Source organism: Homo sapiens, chromosome 18, assembly GCF_000001405.40.
Source record: "Homo sapiens chromosome 18, GRCh38.p14 Primary Assembly".
NCBI classification, from domain to species: Eukaryota; Metazoa; Chordata; class Mammalia; order Primates; family Hominidae; genus Homo; species Homo sapiens.
In genome coordinates, this window is record NC_000018.10 from 7,105,383 (window position 1) to 7,124,729 (window position 19,347).

Consider the following 19,347-nt stretch of genomic DNA (forward strand, 5'->3'; position numbering starts at 1 on the left):
GAGCTGAGATCGCACCTCTGCACTCGAGCCTCGGCGACAGAGTGAGACTTCATCTCAAAAAATAAATAAATAAATAAATAAATAAATAAATAAATAAACAAACAAGAGCAGAAGAGGACAGGAGCAGTAGGTGAATAAAGACAGCTAGACCCTGGAGTCGCCAGACATGAGAAGGTGCAAGAGGAGATCAGCAGGTTGTATAAGGGAAGAAGGGGGTGGCCCAGATAATCCCAAAGAAAAGGCTCCTGTGACCTGTCCATTTAAAGGCATTGAGAAAGAAGGGATGCGGCACAGAATAATGCCTGAATATGGAGGACACTTTTTAAATTTTGGATGAATTCGTTAAAGAATGAACAATTCAGTGCAACACCAGATCAATCAACACCCAATTCTGCAACACCAGACTTTATCCCAAAACTTGAGGACTCTAAATGTCATACATGATCAAGAGTATTTTTCAAAGAAGGGTCTTGGCGAATGACCAAGTCAGCAAAGCAAGACTAAACTGTGGGGAAACCCATTTAAACACAAGTGCAACAATGAACCATCAGGTGAGAACTTTCCAAGTAAAAAACATTACACAAGGGACAATGGGGACACAGAAGAAACTGGCTTTCCCTGAGCCACTTCACTGATCCAACGTGGTCTCTAAGTGCAGGGATTACTCACAGCTCTGAGATGTGTGGGTGTTGTTATCCCCACTTCACAGAGCTGTGGGAATATCAGAAAATAGACATGAAATGAGGAGAGTCAGTTGGGACCCGAGTATTCCACATCTGTTATGTACAGAGCACTAGTCTGTGGGCTGCGGTGGGCAGGACGGGATCAATGCCCCAACTTGCACCCTACAGACAAAGCGAGGGATGGTGGCAGATCCTGCCTCCTTGCATTGCTGTGTAAACTGCATTCACCTACAAAGTTTATGATGTTAACTGAGTGGTTCTCAACCCTGGCTGCACAGTGGAATCACCTGGGAAGCATTTTTTTTTTTTTTTTGAGACAGAGTCTCACTCTGTCGCCAGGCTGGAGTGCAGTGGCGTAATCTCAGCTCACTACAACCTCCACCTCCTGGGTTCAAGTGATTCTCCTGCCTCAGCCTCCCAAGTAGCTCGGACTACAGGTGTGCACCACCACTCCCAGCTAATTTTTGTATTTTTAGTAGATTCGGGGTTTCACCATGTTGGTCATGATGGTTTCGAGCTCTTGACCTCGTGATCCACCCGCCTTGGCCCCTCCCAAAGTGCTGGGATTACAGGCGTGAGCCACCGCGCCCGGCCAGAAGCATTTTTAAAATGCAAATGATATGACCCCCACCCCAGACCGGACACACTATAATCCCTGGGAGTAAGACCTGGGTATTGATATTATTGAAATTTAATGTGCAGCCCACAGAGGGAACTTCTGTGTCACTGTTTGAGTCTGCTCTTCTGACACACACAGAAGTGCTGGCCAAGCAGGTGACTCTGAGTTCTCCATGGAAGAAAGGAAGCCTAAGGGAAACAGCCACCACCCACCAACAGTGGCATATGATGTAGAAGCTGACCCCGCACCTCCAATAAAGCAGCCAGCCAGTGCTGCACGCCTCTGCCCCTCCTCCCCCGCTTTCCTCGACCCATGACCTGGACTACTCATTTCACCCCTAACTTACATGAATATGAGCAAGCAGAACGTAGATGGCAATGTCCACTCCTATGACTTTAACTCCTTACTTGATCATCATTTCTTATGGAGAAAACTCCTTTTTTTTTTTTTTTGAGACGGAGTCTCACTCTGTCACCCAGGCTGAAGTGCAGTGGCGTGATCCTGGCTCACTGCAAGCTCCGCCTGCCGGGTTCACGCCATTCTCCTGCCTCTGCCTCCTGAGTAGCTAGGACTACAGGCACCCGCCACCACGCCCGGCTAATTTTTTGTATTTTTAGTGGAGACGGAGTTTCACTGTGTTAGCCAGGATGGTCTCCATCTCCTGACCTCGTGATCCACCCGCCTCCGCCTCCCAAAGTGCTGAGATTACAGGCGTGAGCCACCGCCCCCAGCCAGAAAACTCCTTTTGATATATGCACTTTTCAGTTCCTTGGACTTCAAAAACAAATACACTAAGAATGCCAAGAAGTGTCCTGGATTCACAGTGAGGAAGGCAGCCGAGAACAGGGCTCTCCAGACACACTACCTTTGAACATCCTTGACCCAGGGCCTGGAGGAGTGGAGGTCCCAAAGTGTCTTCAGTGCATGGATGAATGAGTGAATAAATGAATGATCAAGTGCATGAAAAAAAATTTAAAAACTGAATAGAAATGACAATACTCCTATAAGGAAATACTATTCTCCTCTCCAATGAGGTGTTAACTCTAAAATACTTTCTCAGTGGCTCACACCTGTAATCCCAGCACTTTGGGAGGCTGAGGCGGGCAGATCACGAGGTCAGGAGATTGAGACCGTCCTGGCTACCATGGTGAAACCCCGTCTCTACTAAAAATACAAAAAATTAGCCGGGCCTGGTGGCGGGTGCCTGTAGTCCCAGCTACTCTGGAGGCTGAGGCAGGAGAATGGCGTGAATCTGGGAGGCAGAGCTTGCAGTGAGCCAAGATCGCGCCACTGCACTCCAGCCTGGGCGACAGAGCGAGACTCCGTCTCAAATAAAAAAAATAACAAAAAAAAAAAGAAAAGAAAAAATGCTAACTCTCTCGGTGGCTCACACCTCTAATCCCAGCACTTTGGGAGGCCAAGGCAGGTGGATCACGAGGTCAGGAGTTCGAGACAACCCTGACCAACATAGTGAAACTCCGTCTCTACTAAAAATACAAAAATTAGCCAGGCATGGCGGTGTGTGCCTGTAGTCCCAGCTACTCAAGAGGCTGAGGCAGGAGAATCACTTGAACCTGGGAGGCAGAGGTTTCTGTGAGCCGAGATGGCACCACTGCACTCCACCACTTCAGCCTAGGCAACAGAGCGAGACTCTGTCTCAAAAAAATAAATATAAAAATAAAATGCTAACTCCCAGCTAGGCATGGTGGCTCATACCTGTAATCCCAGCACTTTGGGAGGCTGAGGCAGGCAGATCACTTGAGGTCAGGAGTTCAAGACCAGCCCCGCCAACATGGTGAAACCCTGTCTCTACTAAAAATACAAAAATTAGCTGGGTGTGGTGGCAGGCCATTCCCAGCTACTCAGGAGGCTGAGGCAAGAGAATTGCTTGAACCCGGAAGGCAGAGGTTGCAGTGAGCCGAGACCATGCCACTGCACTGAGACAGACTCTGTCTCAAAAAAAAAAAAAAAAAAAAAAAAAAAGCTAACTCCCTTTTAAAGAAAAACACTGGGAGCTTCCAAAAGCATTCATATGTGGATGCATTATCTCCAGTTCTCCCCACTCCAAACTTCTAGAATGAACAAAAGTATGCCCATGAAGCCAGGGGTGAAGTTGCAAAGAGTTGGAAAAACTTAGTTTGTACAAAAGCAAAGGTAAAAATGGCAGAGTTGGAGATTCAGATAAAAGGGCTGAAGAGACAAACTGTGGATTTTGACGGGTGGGGAAAGAGTGCTAGCCCATCACAGGACACAGCAGCAAGGACAGAAAGCAAGCAGTGGCAGGAAGAGTTCTGGAAACAACTATTTGAACCAGAAACCCAAAGGGTCTGCTTGAAGACCAACTGGAAAGGTTCTTGTGCCTCTGGATACAAAATGGGAAAAGGTTTTTTGAAACACAGATTTTGGTTCCTACCCAGATCAAATCAACTGCAATCCATTTGATTGGATGATACAAAGTCTAAGAGGCTGAAGGACCACATACCCAGAGAGGTGCCAGGGCTGGGTTTGTTATCCAGAGTCCGGGGACCGGCTTTATGGTTGCTCAGGCAACCTGACTACCTGTGGGGAGTTCCTCGGTGTTACTGCCCTCCGGCTACTAATGACCCAGGTTTTAATGCTAGAACCCCCCTGGGGTTGTCTGTGTATTCAAAGAAATGCCGGGAGCTAAGGTTTTGATCTTCGAAACAGAAATGTCCCTTCTTTTTGACACTGGCTCATGTCATTCTGGACCAGCCATTCAAAAGAGGACCGGATGGCAACTTTGGCTGGGTGGGAACTCCAATTTATCACAAAATACAATGCAGATTCAGAAGTGAGACAGTTGAAACAGGCCATCACATCGAGGCTGTCCTGGGGTTGGTATATTGCAGCCTGTGCATGAGTGGTCTGGTTAGGTTTTCAGTGGGAAACGGGAGTACATTTCAGGTGAGAGAGTCATGTAACCAAATCACACAGCTGCAAGTCAATATACCACGTGCAGTTAGACAGGAAGGAGACCCCTGCAATGGAAGCTAATAGTTCAGCTACAGAAAGGTGTGGAGAAGGGCGGGGTGACTGAACTTGGAGGGATCACTGAGGGCCATAGCAGGTGGGCAGGAGCAGAGGGAGAACATTACGAAGGCGGTATTTTGGCGGGGTTACTCTAACTGCAGTGTGGGACTGGATTAAATGAAAGGACACGAGCTAGCATCACAGACCCGATAAAAAGCAGCCGGCTGGCCGGGTGCGGTGGCTCACGCCTGTAATCCCAGCACTTTGGGAGGCCAAGGCGGGTGGATCACAAGGTCAGGAGATCGAGACCATCCTGGCCAACATGATAAAACCCTGTTTCTACTAAAATACAAAAATTAGCAGGGTGTAGTGGCGCGCACCTGTGATCCCAGCTACTCGGGAGGCTGAGGCAGAAGAATCGCTTGAACCCAGGAGGCAGAGGTTTCAGTGAGCCGAGATCACGCTACTGCACTCCAGCCTGGGTGACAGAGCAAGACTCCATCCCCCCACCCGCTGCCAAAAAAAAAAAAGCGGCTAGTTACACTATAGCAGCTGGTTTAGAGGCTGGTGGCATTTGCAGTGCTAACAGAGAGAAACTAAAACAAAAAGATCAGGAAGTTTTTCAAGGAAAGAAACAAAATTAAGAGAGACAATTTGGATAAGGGGATACAGAAAAAGAAAAACAGAAAAGGAAATGAAGCCTAGGTAACCAAAAGAATGCCAAGAACAGGAGAAACAGGGAGGGCAGCCATCTGGAGAAAGAACGAATTCCTTGTCCTGAGCTGGAGATAACAAGATTCCACTTGTTGTGGGTAAAATTCTGTCATTACCAAAAGGTTGGAAGACATTTAAATGTGTGGTGTAGGCTGGACATGGTGGCTCATTCCTGTAATCTCAGCACTTTGAGAGGCTAAGGCAGGCGGATCACTTGAGATCAGGAGTTCGAGACCAGCCTGGCCAACACGGCAAAACCCCATATCTACTAAAAATATAAAAATTAGCCTGGCATGGTGGTGGGCGCCTATAATCCCAGCTACTCAGGAGGCTGAGGCAGGAGAATCGCTTGAACTGGGAGGCGGAGGTTGCAGTCAGCAGACATTGAGCCACTGCACGCCAGCCTGGGCAACAGAGTGAGACTCCATGTCAAAGGAAAAAACAAAGAAAAAAGTATGGTGTACCATAATCAACTGTGGTGTGAGGGTTTTTTTTCCCTCCCCCCCCCCACTTCTAATTGTTCTCTTTTAACTAAAAATCATCTGCTAAATTTAAGCATCTTCTTTAACACTGCTATTGTCATAGAGAATCTCCTGAAGTTCTGGCAGGAAACTATGGAGCAATGGAACAAGATGCAGGAAATACTTTCGGGAATGAGAAAAGATGGCACTTTCCATAAATACTCATTGATCTAAATTTGACATTCCCACCAGCAATACAGGAGGTTCTCTGGCACAAGAATGTCAGTCATACTGCCTGCTGGGCCAGCAGATCAGACTTCAAAGATAACTTCTGGAATGAAGAGATTCAAACTTCAAATGGTTGATTAAAAAAAAAATGTGCACGCACACTGAAGTCACACTGGTGATTTCACAGTGGTATTTCTCTGCCACCATTTCTGAATTAACACTTCGAGATAAATGCTTACCTAGGCAAGAATGTTATCTACCCAAGCTGATTTGGAATCTCTCTGCCTCCATTGTCTGCCTCCTGCCCCCAAGCAAGATGAGGAACAAGTTAACCCAAAGAAAGCTCTCCTGAGCCAGCCTTGAGAAAACAAAGACACAAGTGGGAAGATTCTGTGCTATTTATTATCAAATGGTTACTCTGGGCACTGTCACACCCAGTATAAAGGACATGAAAATACAATGAATCCAGCTATCGTGTGGCGTTTTATGCTGAAATAGCTCCCTGACAGACGTGTTCCAACAGAACCAAAGTTCATGACCTTAACTAAATTACTTCTATGAAGGGTTTTTCCTCCTCGTTAATTTTGCAATGCCTTGGTTTATTCAATTGTCCATGGATGCATATTGATATTTTAGAAATAAAACAAGTAAAAGAATTATTTGCAAACTTGTAAGTAACTACATACATCATTCTTAGGAGATGATAGTTTATCTAGTTCATCCAAATATTTCTGAAGAATGTAACGAAAAACTTCAGCTAAGGTCTAAGTTCCACAGTTCTGTCCAGTCGCTATCAATTAATTTCTGTATTCAAGGTGTAGACTTAACTTCTTCATTAGAAATTTTTTTAAATACATATTTTCTGTACCTGCCATAGTGTTCCAGTAATAAGTCATACTTATTGGTCAATACATTAACTTATCCTTAACGTGTAATAGAATTGTTCTCAAACTCAACTTCTCTATATCATAAATCTTAAAATTCTAAAATATATTTTTTAAAATTCTCTATGGCTTAAAAATAGCTTATTAATACTATAGTAAACAATACTTTTAGAAGTAGTACAATGCCATGAAATCAATCAAGTTTTTAAACCCCAAAAGATCTAGGAAACACTGCTCTAACAATACCTTTCTGTCAAAGCCCTACTTGGAAGGACAAGTTGCAAGGTGAAAAGTTTGCAAGTACATACATTTACTAAATGATGTGTTAATATCCAGCACAAGGTCCAGTAAAGAAGTTAGTATGAGGGGAGGACAGTGGACAGAGGGATACTGTTCCATGCATCCATGTTTTGGCAGAAAATCACTGGTGTCCCTCTTACACTAATAGGGAAGAAGTAGATTTTATGATGTAGCTTGCTTTTAAAAGTTACCTGAAGAAACATCTTTAGACGCTTATCCAAAAAATTAAAGCCAGTGGTTACCTCAAAAGAGAGTAAAAAAGCCAAGTCTTAACTTTTTTCTACCTATAGTACCTTTTGCATTTCATACCATAAATGTGGATTATCTATTAAAATATATATATATACACACATATATGTATTTTATATATATATATACATTTTTTTTTTTTGAGACAGAGTTTCACTCTTGTTGCCCAGGCTGGAATGCAATGGCACGATCTCGGCTCACCACAACTTCCGCCTCCAGGGTTCAAGCAATTCTCCTGCCTCAGCCTCCTGAGTAGCTGGGATTACAGGCCCCACCACCACGCCTGGCTAATTTTGTATTTTTGGTAGAGATGGGGTTTCTCCATGTTGGTCAGTCTGGTCTTGAACTCCCGACCTCATGTGACCCACCTGCCTCGGCCTCCCAAAGTGCTGGGATTACAGGCGTGAGCCACTGCGCCCAGCTATTCAAAATATTTTTAAAGTTACTTGATTCCTAAATAAAGATGTTCATTTCAACTTAGCTCAACAACAAGAAGTGGCTACTAACTGCTAGAAACACTGCAAAGCAATGAACAGATATGCATAAAACAGTCCCTGCCCTTGACAAGGCCGAGAGAGAAGGTGAGCCAGATAAGTCATTGGCCCCATGACAGGCAAGACAATAGCATTGAGCAGGGAAAGCCCTGTGAGTACAGGGAAGGTTGTCTAACAAATACTTCAGCAGAGAGAGAGCTGGGAAGATTTTCCAGGGTTCTTTAGAACCCAAATGAAAGATGTGTCCGGCACTTAAGAGCCCATGTGCCAGGAAACATTAGTTAGCTACAAATAGGTGCAGGCGTATCCCAGATAATGCCTCTCAGCTCTGAGACAGCAGGCCAGCTGGGGTCCCAGCCTCCTTGCTTTACCCCCAATGTGACACAGCAGGACACTGTCATTTTGTGCATCTTATAAAGTGAGGGGTTTGGGGCACATAATCTAAACTTATAGGGTGGGCCCTGGAGAAGGATGTGGAGTGAAAAGGGCACACCTTGGAAGAAGACCACTTGCTTAAACATGAAGGAAAGTAAGTCACATTGGGGAACATTAAGTAATTTGATAAAGAAACGGTGAGAAATGGGAAGAATTTTAAACAAGAGTAGGAGCGGTTATCGAGATGGTGTTTCTAGAAACATCACAGTGATGGCACTGCTGAGGAGGGAGAACAGGTGAGGCTGCTGGCCTGCTGAGTGAACCATCACACTATTTCCTGAGAAAAACAAACAACCTGAGAAAAACAAACAATTCCTAAGTCTAGCCAGCAGTGAGAATAAAAAATGGGAAAGAGGCCGGGGGCAGTGGCTCACTCCTGTAATACCAACACTTTGGGAGGCCGAGGTGGGTGGATCACCAGGTCATGAGATCGAGACCATCCTGGCTAACATGGTGAAACCCCGTCTCTACTAAAGAATACAAAAAATTAGCTGGGCGTGGTGGCGGGCGCCTGTAGTCCCAGCTACTCAGGAGGCTGAGGCAGGAGAATGGCGTGAACCTGGGAGGCGGAGCTTGCAGTGAGCCGAGATCGTGCCACTGCACTCCAGCCTGGGCGACAGAGCGAGACTCCGTCTCAAAAAAAAAAAAAAAAGAAAAAAGGGAAAGAGACTACACAGATTTTCAGGAGGTAAAATCAATAAGTCTCAATGACCAAATGGATTTCAGCAATGAAAGAGAGATGATGTCCAGGATGATGAGCAAGTACAATAGGTGTAACAGTAATAACCATCATGCACTGAGTACCTATGACACACCCTACACTGTGCTAATATTTTTCACATATTATTTAATAGTATCAATGCTATCCATTTTATAGATAGAAAGCTGACATTCAGAGAAGTTAAGAAACTTAGCCATGGCCATAGCTAATTAAAGTGACAGGTCTGGCATTTGAGCCCAAGACTATTTGATTCCAAATCCAGACTTCAAATTTCTAAACAATTATGCATTTTGGAGAATATAGTTTAAAAATATATAGTTCTTTATAAAATAGTAACAGTGATGAACATAAATAAACTTGCTTGTTGAGGGTTAACTCTGTACTAGATACTGGTCTAACAACTTTTCTCACATTATTTCATTTAATCATTAACATCCCTTTCAGGTAGGCACTATTATTATTCCCATTTTACAGACAGTGAAACTAAAACACACGTTATGTCCCCAATTTGCCATAGCTAGTAAAGCCAGAGAATTAAACACCTGAAGCTTAAAGACAGACCTTGTGTTATTTCCCCATAACAATTTACTGTACATGAAAATGAATATCCATAGGATTTTATGAATGAATTAGTATAAAATGGTAGGGCATTTCAAGGATCATTACCCTGAAATAAATGGTCCCAGAAGCATTTTATATGAGTTTATAAAGCAGTGCAATTATAAAGCAGTGGCACAAGACACTAAAGATCAGTATATGTATTTATTCTAATATTCTTGATGCATTTGAATTCTCAATCATGCTAGATTAACTACAGATGTAGGCTTCATATTTAATGTCTGGAAAAGAAGAAGGAAAAAAAGAATGGACTAAAGTCCAGGCTATGTAGGAGGTGGGCAGTGAGGCTTCTGTTACACATACCCTTGTTTCCAACTGCTACGATCAATATTTTTCATGGGCCCTTAGAGAATACAGTGACAGAAAAGAAAAAACGCACCTCTGAAATCCATTCAGGCATGCATACTTTACTGTGGAGCACATACTTGCTAAATTTGAATACTATGTCATATATGAGAATGAAGTGAATTTTCTTGTAGATTTTTTTCTGTCCTTAGAATTGTCTATTTTAGAAAAAAAGAAGGGATAGTTTCCAACAAAAGTGATGAAGCAACCATAATTTTATGTGATTGCCAGCTATGAATTTAACACATTATTTTTACAAACACAATACGTCCTATTCAATACTTAGGAGGAGCTCACTTGAAACTCATTAAATTTCAAAGGAAAGTGAGCCATCAGGTCATATACTATGAGCTGTAAGGTAACCCAGAGAGACTGCAGAAATGACAGGGAACGTCTAACAATCTGAATGTCAATAGATAATAAGTTATTTTAAAAAATAACACCAGACAACTAACTAGCAGGTGATTTGCAGGTCAGGATTATTGACCAAAACACACAACTTTACAAATCATTCATGCTATTCATGGGGCACAAAATCGTTTCTTAAAAAAAAAAAAAAAATCAGGCCGGGCGCGGCGGCTCACGCCTGCAAACCCAGCACTTTGGGAGGCCGAGGTGGGCTGATCACGAGGTCAGGAGTTTGAGACCAGCCTGGCCAATATGGTGAAACCCTGTCTCCACTAAAAATACAAAAAAAAAAAAAAAAAAATAGCCGGGCGTGGTGGCACGCGCCTGTAGTCCCAGCTACTCGGGAGGCTGAGGCAGAATTGTTTGAACCCGGGAGGCGGAGGTCGCAGTGAGCCGAGATGGTGCCACTCCACTCCTGCCTGCAGCCCGGAGACTGCAAAAAAAAAAAATCAAAACTGCTCAAGGAGGCTAGTTAGGAAGGGTGAGGGTTGGTGGGGTGCGGAAGGCAAAAAGGCAAACAGGGAATGCGATATGAAACATTAAAGGGCTCCTGCCCTGGGAGGTTTTCCGCAGCATCTCAAAGCAGGAAAGCCCCATGAGGTCCCACTTTCTCCAAAAACCACTCATAACCGCCAGGCCAAGTGCCGAGCCCCGAGGGGCCAGGACAACCTTCAGGCCATCTCCTCAGTCTAAGACTTTCAATTTCGGGGAACAATAAGCTGAGGCAAGCTGCTCTTTCTCTACCCTGTGGGAAACCGGGACTTGTTCACCTTCAGCAGCCTGATAGACAGGAGTCCCCTCGCAATCCTTTAAGGCTCCTCTCCCTCCCCAAAGGCTCCTTTCTTCTGGCTGATAACTATGTAAATTCCCTCTTCCCAGCCTGGCTCTGCGCAGCAGACTCGCAGCTATTCAATGCTGCGTTTCCAGCTCCGGTCCAGTGCTTCCATCATGAATGCTTGAATGAATGAGATGGTCGCGTTTCTGCAGAGCTCACAACTCAGCACAATGCCCAAACACACGTTTCCCACGAGGGCACTGCAAATTCCGCCCACTACTTTTGACTCGAATTTTTTTTTAATGAAGTTTATATTCGTGGGAATACGCCCATTGTCATGTGCTGCATACATTAAGATGTTTTCAACAAATATTTGTGACTGCCTAGCCAACACGAAGCCACGCTGCGAAGACAGCTCTAGGGGTGGCGTGGGTGACTAGGGTTGTCCCCCAAAAGGGAAAAGAATTCTTTCTTTCTTTTTCTTTCTTTCTCTCTCTTTCTTTTCTCTTTCTCTCTCTCTTTCTTTCTTCTCTCTCTCTCTCTTTCCGCCCGCCCGCAAAAACAGAAAATGAAAATTCGCTCTGAGTTTCTCTTCTCAATCCTTGCAACGCGCATGCAAGGTGCTCCCTTCTCCGCTGGTCCCTCGCCCCGGCGCGCCCACGGTCAATCCCGCGCAGTGAATGAGCGGGTTTGGCCACTTCGCCTATTGCACAAAAAGCGCGGGTCGGGAAGGCGCATCAGTGCCCTGGACGCCGCCTGCGGGTCCCCCTGCCCGGGACGGCTGGCTAGGGGCGCCCTTCTCGCCGCGTCTCTCCCCACTAGCCCGCTTGGCTGCCAGGGGCCCCGAGGAATCCGCCCTTTCCCGGCCGCCGCGACCCAGCTTGCGCAGCCGGACAATGAGGGCGACTCGGGAGAGCTCTTTCTCCATTCATCCCCCGCGCCCGGCCAACAGCCCCGCCACCCCCGCCCGCGCAGCCGGGGCACTAAAAGCAACCCCCGGCGCCCCGCTCCGGGCGCCCCGCTCCCGCCACCCCCAGCACTGCTCGCGTAGATGGCGCTCCTGGGTCGCGAAGTCCCGCAAAAGCCAGAGGCGAGGCTGGGCTTTAACCCCAAAGCCCGAGGAGGTTAAAGCCTAAGCCTGCAAAGAGCGGGCAGCGTCCGGCAGGAGCGGCGTCCCCATCCAGCCCTCCCCGGCAAGCGCGGGAGACCCACGTGGCCGAGACACCCACTCCGAGGTGGATCAGGATGCGCGCCCGGACTCCAGCAGCCCCAACGCGACGGGCTTTGTCCGCGGCCGCCCCCGCCCGCCCGCCTGCGGGGGACAGGGACCCTAGGACCCGGGCCGGGCTCACCTCTCTGCCGGCACTGCGCGGCGACACACAGCAGCAAGACCAGGAGCACGCCCCCGCGCATCTCGCCTCCGCCGCCACTCGGTGGGTCTGGGGAGAAAGCCGCGCGCCCGCCTGGAACGCTCCACGGGACGCGAGTCCGCGCTGCCCTGGCCCCGCCGCTCCTGGAGTCCTGCCGCCCCTCCCTCCAGCCGCCCTCGGACACACCCCTCGGCTGCGCCCCGCCCCGCCCCGTCCCGCCCCGGCTTGGCCCCGCCACCCAGACCCCTCCCCCGGGGGCGCCCAGCTTGGCCTCTGGGTCCCGGCGCACGCGGACCCCAAGTCGGGGAGGCCGGGCTGACCGCGGCCGCCTCCCCGGCTCCGGGTAGGAGGTGGGCAGAGAAGGTGGGCTGAGGGGAGGAGAAACTGGGCTGCGGGGGTCCGGGAGGGTGGATTCCGAGAAACTATGTGCCCAGCTGACCCTGCCCGCCCCGCCGCGGCCCTGCAGTCCCCGGGCCAGGACCCACGCGCCCCTGCCAGGAGCTGGGCGAGAGGCGACCCCTCGGGAAGCCACCCAGGCTCGGCCGACCCGCCGCCCTTTCCGCCGTGGGCAGAGGACTTGAGGATTTTTTCTGAAAATGAGTTGCAACTTGTTCCCGACTTTGTTTGCCTAAAGAAGGCAAGGTCACTTGGACTTAATTATTATAATTAGATACCCTTACTGCTGGAGAGAGAGGACGCGCTCCTGACACGCAACTTCAACTGCTGTTATTATAATTATTATTATTTTAAAACTATGTCTGGTCCCCGATAAAGAATTTTTAATTTCCTCTGATTTTTTTTTTCTATCAAAAGTATTGGATGGGTGCAGTGGCTCACGCCTGTAATTCCAGCACTTTGGGAGGCCGAGGCGGGTGGATCACTTGAGGTCAGGAGTTCGAAACCAGCCTGGCCATCATGGTGAAACCTCGTCTCTACTAAAAACATACAAAAATTAGCTGGGTGTGGTGGCACGCGCTTGCAGTCCCAGCTACTTGGGAGGCTGAGGCAGGAGAATTGCTTGAACCCGGGAGTGGGAGGTTGCAGTGAGCTGAGATCACACCAGCTGCACTCCAGCCTGGGCGACAGAGCGAGACTCTGTCTCAAAAAAGAAAAAAAAGGTATTCATAACACTTTGTAGATTTCACATTTTCTCAATATAAATATACAGGGACAATATCTCATTATCATCCCACCATCTTATTTTGCAGGGTTTTTTTTTCTTGATAGGAAGATAATTTCCTCTCACTTGTGTGAATCTATTTGACAACTCTATCAATTCCTGTTTTTCTGAGGACACTTCCTTACACATCTAGTGAGTAGAACTTAGTTATAGTACTTAGCCATCGATTAATTTTTAAAAATCATGGAACAAAATGATAGTTTGGCCGTTTTAAAAGGATGCAATATAGTTCAGTGAATACTCCATACAGTACTAAATTTAAAATGCAGACGTTCGTAACTATTAAAATGTTACTAAGTAATTATTAAATAAGTAAACTTAGTATTTAATAAATGATCAAATATTATAGTATTAGGCACATAGCTATTAAAATGCAGAATTATAAGCATTTATGCACTGAAATAACTGCACACACAGACCTAGCATTCATATAGATTATCTTTTGGGATCTTCACAACTCTATGAGATGCTTGCCAGGAGATAAGGAAGTGAGTTCTCAGTGTCAGCAAATGTCTGGTCTAGAGCTAGACCCCATGTCTGGTTTCTAGTCCATAGTCCTTTACAACACCACGCTGAAATCACAGAGGATGTTGATCAAAAGCAAACTTGGAGGTGGTGGCTAACGCCTGTAATCCCAGCACTTTGGGAGGCCGAGGCGGGTGGATCACCTGAGGTCAGGAGATCGAGACCATCCTGGCTAACGCGGTGAAACCCCGTCTCCACTAAAAATACAAAAAATTAGCCGGGGGGCGGTGGCAGGCGCCTGTAGTCCCAGCTACTCGGGAGGCTGAGACAGGAGAATGGTGTGAACCCGGGAGGCGGAGCTTGCAGTGAGCCAGGATAGCGCCACTGCACCCCCGCCTGGGCGACAGAGCAAGACTCCGTCTCAAAAAAAAAAAAAAAAAAAACCACACTGGAGGAATCACAAGGGGTGTCCCCATATTCTGGGTCTCCCCATATCCTGGGTTCCTAGAAATTCAGGCAGGAGGTCAATGGGACCTTATCTTTGAACTGCAAGCAGGGATCTCACGTGTGTAATTTCAAGGGAGGCAAGTGGTCAGCACCTCTGGGGAGTGAATAGGAAGCATCAAAAGTTACAAATTGGCACTATTTATCACTGCTCAAAATTAAGCAGAAAAGATTTCAATGAAAAGAATTCAGAACAAACTTGGATAAAATGCAGCAGTAAAAATGTCATAATTCTACACATCTTCTAAAAACCCTGCAGTACAAATTTTTCCAATCTTTAGCATGCTTGGAAAATATCTAAATTACCTAGAGCCCTATGAAAGTGCAGGGCTGGCTTGTTCAAGTTGAAAATGAGTATAACAAGAATGTTCACATTTTGTGAGAAAGTAAAAATTCAACTCAACTGGACACAAAAAGATCCTTGCTTCAAAGTCACCTATAAATAATGAACAATTGAAAATGCCTAAATGTCAAGCGATAGTTTAAATGGTTAAGTACTTTATAAATCAATGTAACAGGCTATTATGTAGCTACTTTTGAATTGTGAAACTCTGCAATGAAAAACAACTCATATGTTAAGAAATGCAACATTCCAAATAACATAGACATTCTGATTACAATTATGTATATAAAATAAGCACATGTGGCCAGGAGTGGTGGCTCAAGCCTGTAATCTCAGCACTTTGGGAGGCCAAGACGGGCAGATCACCTGAGGTTAGGAGTTCGAGACCAGCCTGGTCAACATGATGAAACCCCATCTCTTCCAAAAATACAAAAATTAGCCGGGCGTGGTGGCGGATTCCTGTAATCCCAGCTACTTGGGACGCTGAGGCAGGAGAATTGCTTGAACCCGGGAGGCAGAGGCTGCAGTGAGCCGAGATCATGCCATTGCACTCCAGTCTGGACAACAAGAGCAAAACTCCATCTCAAAATAATAATAATAATAATTTTTAAAAAGCACATGTGCAAACAAGGAACTAGAAAACCAACATACAGAAGTAAACAGTTTTGTTCAGGTGGTCAGAAGATGGGTAGAGGTATGGATGTTTTAGATAGTGAAGAAAAGCTCAGGCTGGGCTCAGCGATGGTTCACATTCTTTCCCCACGCTTACTAGCAGTGACATCTTGGGCAAGTTCCTCCTCTGTAAAATAGAGATAGCAATGGTGCCTACTTCATTCATTCAATAAACATTTTTTAAGTGGCTGCTAAGTGCCAGTGCTAGGGATATACCATGAAATGAGAAAGACGTATGACATTTCCCACCATGTGGAGCATGCAGTCTGATGGTTAAGGCAGAAAAAAGAAAAAATAATCATAAATTTAATAAGTGCCATCAAGGAAATATCTGGTTACTTAGATAAAGAATGGGAGGACCAGGTACCGATTGGGCAGTTTGGGAAAGTTTTGCTAAGACGGCTTATTGTATGGCAGGGCGCCGTGGCTCACCCCTGTAATCCCAGCACTTTGGGAGGCTGAGGCGGGTGGATCACAAGGTCAGGAGATCGAGACCATCCTGGCTAACACGGTGAAATCCCATCTCTACTAAAAATACAAAAAAGTAGCCGGGCGTGGTGGCGGGCACCTGTAGTCCCAGCTACTCAGGAGGCTGAGGCAGGAGAATGGCATGAACCCGGGAGGCGGAGCTTGCAGTGAGCCAAGATCAGGCCACTGCGCTCCAGCCTGCATGACGGAGCAAGACTCCGTCTCCAGAAAGAAAAAAAAAGAAGGCTTATTGTAAGCATTAAATGAGCCAATGTATGGAAGTCACCAGCACTCTGCCTTGCACATGTCAAATGATAATAAAGATGAATGAATTCTTTTTTCTTTCTTTTTTTTTTTTTTTAGACAGAATGTCTAGGAGACATTCTGTCACCTAGGCTGGAGTGCAGTGGCATGATGTTGGCTCACTGCAGCCTCAACCTCCTGAGCTCAATGGTAGACCACCTCAGCCTCTTGAGCTCTTGAGTAGCTGGGACTACAGGCGCACACTGCCACACTCAGCTAATCTTTGTATTATTATTTTGATTACTTTTCTTTTTCGGGGGCAGAGATGGGTTTTGCCATGTTGTCCAAGCTGGTCTTGAACTCCTGAGCTCAAGTGATCTGCCCACCTCAGCCTCCCAAAGTGCTGGAATATGAATTTGTATTTCAGTAATTTCACTAATACTATTATATTTTTTAACATAAAAAAAAAAAAGCTTAATTATGACCATTTTCAAAACCAGGGCTCACACAGGCTGAGCTAAATTGGAGCTTTCAAATCCCTTGGGTGATCCTGTTGAAATCCAGATTCTAGTTCAATAGTTCTGGGTTGCAGGCCTGAGTTCCTGCATTTCTAACAAGCTCCCCATGATGCTGATGCTGCGGATAGGCAGAGCACATCTTGACCAGCACATAGCTTGCTTGCTTGTTCTCCATCTTGTTTGCAAACTGAAATCAGTGGAGGAATTTAAAAAATACTGATTCTGGTTTCCACCCCGATAGATTATGATTCAATTGGTATGGGGTACAGCTTGGACATCTAGATATTTCTAATGATCTCCAGGTAATTCTAATGTGAAGCAAAGTTTCAGAAACACAGCTAGACTGACCTGCTCCTGCATGTAGAAAATCCAGGTTCTGGTCATTGGTGGCTGAGCAGGCTGGGGGAGCCACATTCAGAGTGTGGTCACTCTGGCCTGGCAAGAAGCCTGGCCTGGCAAGTGTTTTTCCTCGTATCCTGACACCCACATAGCAGGGATCCAGCCACGGTGCCCAGAATACAGGACAGGACCGTTTCTCTGGAGAGTTAGTACAAGCAAGGCTGCCTCTTAGTTCTAAAGGACTGAGATACAAGGCAGAGACTTAGGCACAGGAGCATCACACCGGGATCCAGGCAGAAGGCCTGGATGTAAAGCTAGGGGCTTGGTTACAAGGATAGAGGCAAGAGGTCAGTTACTAGAATTGGTTATGGTGTCAGAGTCTCATCTAGGACAAAGTTAGAGGGGCTGACCATAGGAAAAGCTCCTTAAGGTCTCGTGGCTAGAAATAAGGTGGTTGAGACCCTTCGCTTTAGGCAGGGGTGAGGGCTGGAAGGACTAGCAGTCAATGAAAGCAAATTGGAGGTGGGAGGCAAAAATGGTCCCTCAAAGGTGCGTGTCCCATGTCCTAATGGCTGGAACCTGGAAATACATTATATTACATGACAAAAGGCACTTTGCAGATGTGATTAAATAAGAGTCTTAAGATGAGGAGATTATCTAGTATTTGCCAAGCGGACTAATGTAATCAGTAGAAGTCTTCATAAGTGAAAGAGAGAGTAGGAGAGGAAGACTCGGTGATTCAATGCGAGAAGGACTCAACCAGCCATTGCTGGCTTTGAAGATGGGGGTGGGGATCATGAGTCCTGGAATGTGAGCAGCTTCTAGATCCTGGGAAGGCAAGGACACAGATCTTCCCCTAGAGCCTCCAGAAAGAGCCAGCTGTAAGGACACCTTGAGTTTGCCCAGGTGAAACCCATTTTGGACTTTGGAATTCCGGAACTATAAGATAACAATACAAATTGTTATCTTATAGTTTGTATTGTTTTATGTCAAGAAGTGTGTGATAATTTGTTACAGTAGCAGTAGGGAACTAATACATTAGGCAAAGACTACTCCCAGGAAGCAAGTGGAGATGAAGTTAGGGGGAAAAATGAGTATCTATATTAGGATTGAAGTAGAGCCTGAAGATTCCATTTGTGCCCGTGATAAAGAGCAGAAGATAGAAGAATTTGAAAGAATTACCTGAAATACTGGAAAAAAGAGAAGGAAGAATAGAGGTCTCAGAGGATAGCAATGGAGAACATGGCGTCTGGAGAGGGACAAAATTGCTATTCATGATGTTTATAAGCTTTGGTTTTCATGCAAGTTGTGCCATAAACTCTGGGAACAATTTGGACAAAGTGGCTATAAAGTGATAGGCAGAACTCTGTTTATAGCCCTAGGTAACAGACTGCTGGTTGCCTCTCAAAATCCAGGCTCCTGTTCTTCTGAGCACTTAGTCACCCAGGTAGATCACCAGGTGGGCACTGCATTGCCAGCCTGCCTCAAAGCTAGATTTAAATCTGTATTAGTCTGCCCAGGCTGCTGTAACAAAATATCACAGGCTGGGAGGCTTAAACAGCAGAAACTTATTTTCTTATAGTTCTGGAGGCTGAAAGTCCCAAATCAAGGTCTGGCAGCATTCAGTTTCTGGTGAGGGCTCTCTTCCTGGCTTGCAGGCAGCCACCTTCTCACTGTGACCTCACGTGGTGGAGACAAAGAGCAAGCTTTCATAAGTGTCTCTTCTTACAAGAACACAAATCCTATTGGATCAGAGCCCCATTCTTACTACCTCATTTAACCTTAATCACTTTCTCAGAGGTCCCATTTCCAAATTCAGCCACACTGAGGAAAAGGGCTTCAACACATGAATTTGGGGGGAACATAAACATTCTCCTGCCTCAGCCTGCAGTGTAGTTGAGACTACAGGTATGTGCCACAGCACCAGGCAGCGTTTGCCTTTTGACATTTAATCTCTTCTCAAGGGGCTTGTAGTATTTTACATTTACATAGCTGAATTTCCAGAGCATAATGTAAAAAATACATTTAAATAGGATTTAACAAAGATGTTACGCAAGAAAAAGCAGTGGTTAAAAAATACAGGAATCAAACTGCCTGGGACCGAATACCAGCTCTCACGTTTACTTGATTGGGTGATTTGTGGAAAATTATTTAACTTGTCCTCAGTTTACTCACTTTACTATAAAATATCCCCATTTTACTACAAAATGGGAATAAAAATAAGATGTATATCAAAAGGTGAGAATTGAATGACATAATGAACACAGAATTGTTAGCGTAGTTCCTGGCATCAAGTAAACATTCGATAATTAGTTTCTTC

At 45.8% G+C, this 19,347-nt stretch overlaps 1 protein-coding gene across 1 annotated transcript in view; it reads right to left on the reverse strand.

The window, feature by feature from the left end:
- The window catches only part of LAMA1 (laminin subunit alpha 1), a 176,056-nt gene extending 163,641 nt beyond the window's left edge, over window positions 1–12,415 (reverse strand). Inside the window, exon 1 of the mRNA NM_005559.4 lies at window positions 12,278–12,415. Within this exon, the coding sequence (NP_005550.2) occupies window positions 12,278–12,338 (61 nt within the window). The 5' untranslated portion in view covers window positions 12,339–12,415. The remainder of the gene's footprint in view (window positions 1–12,277) is intronic.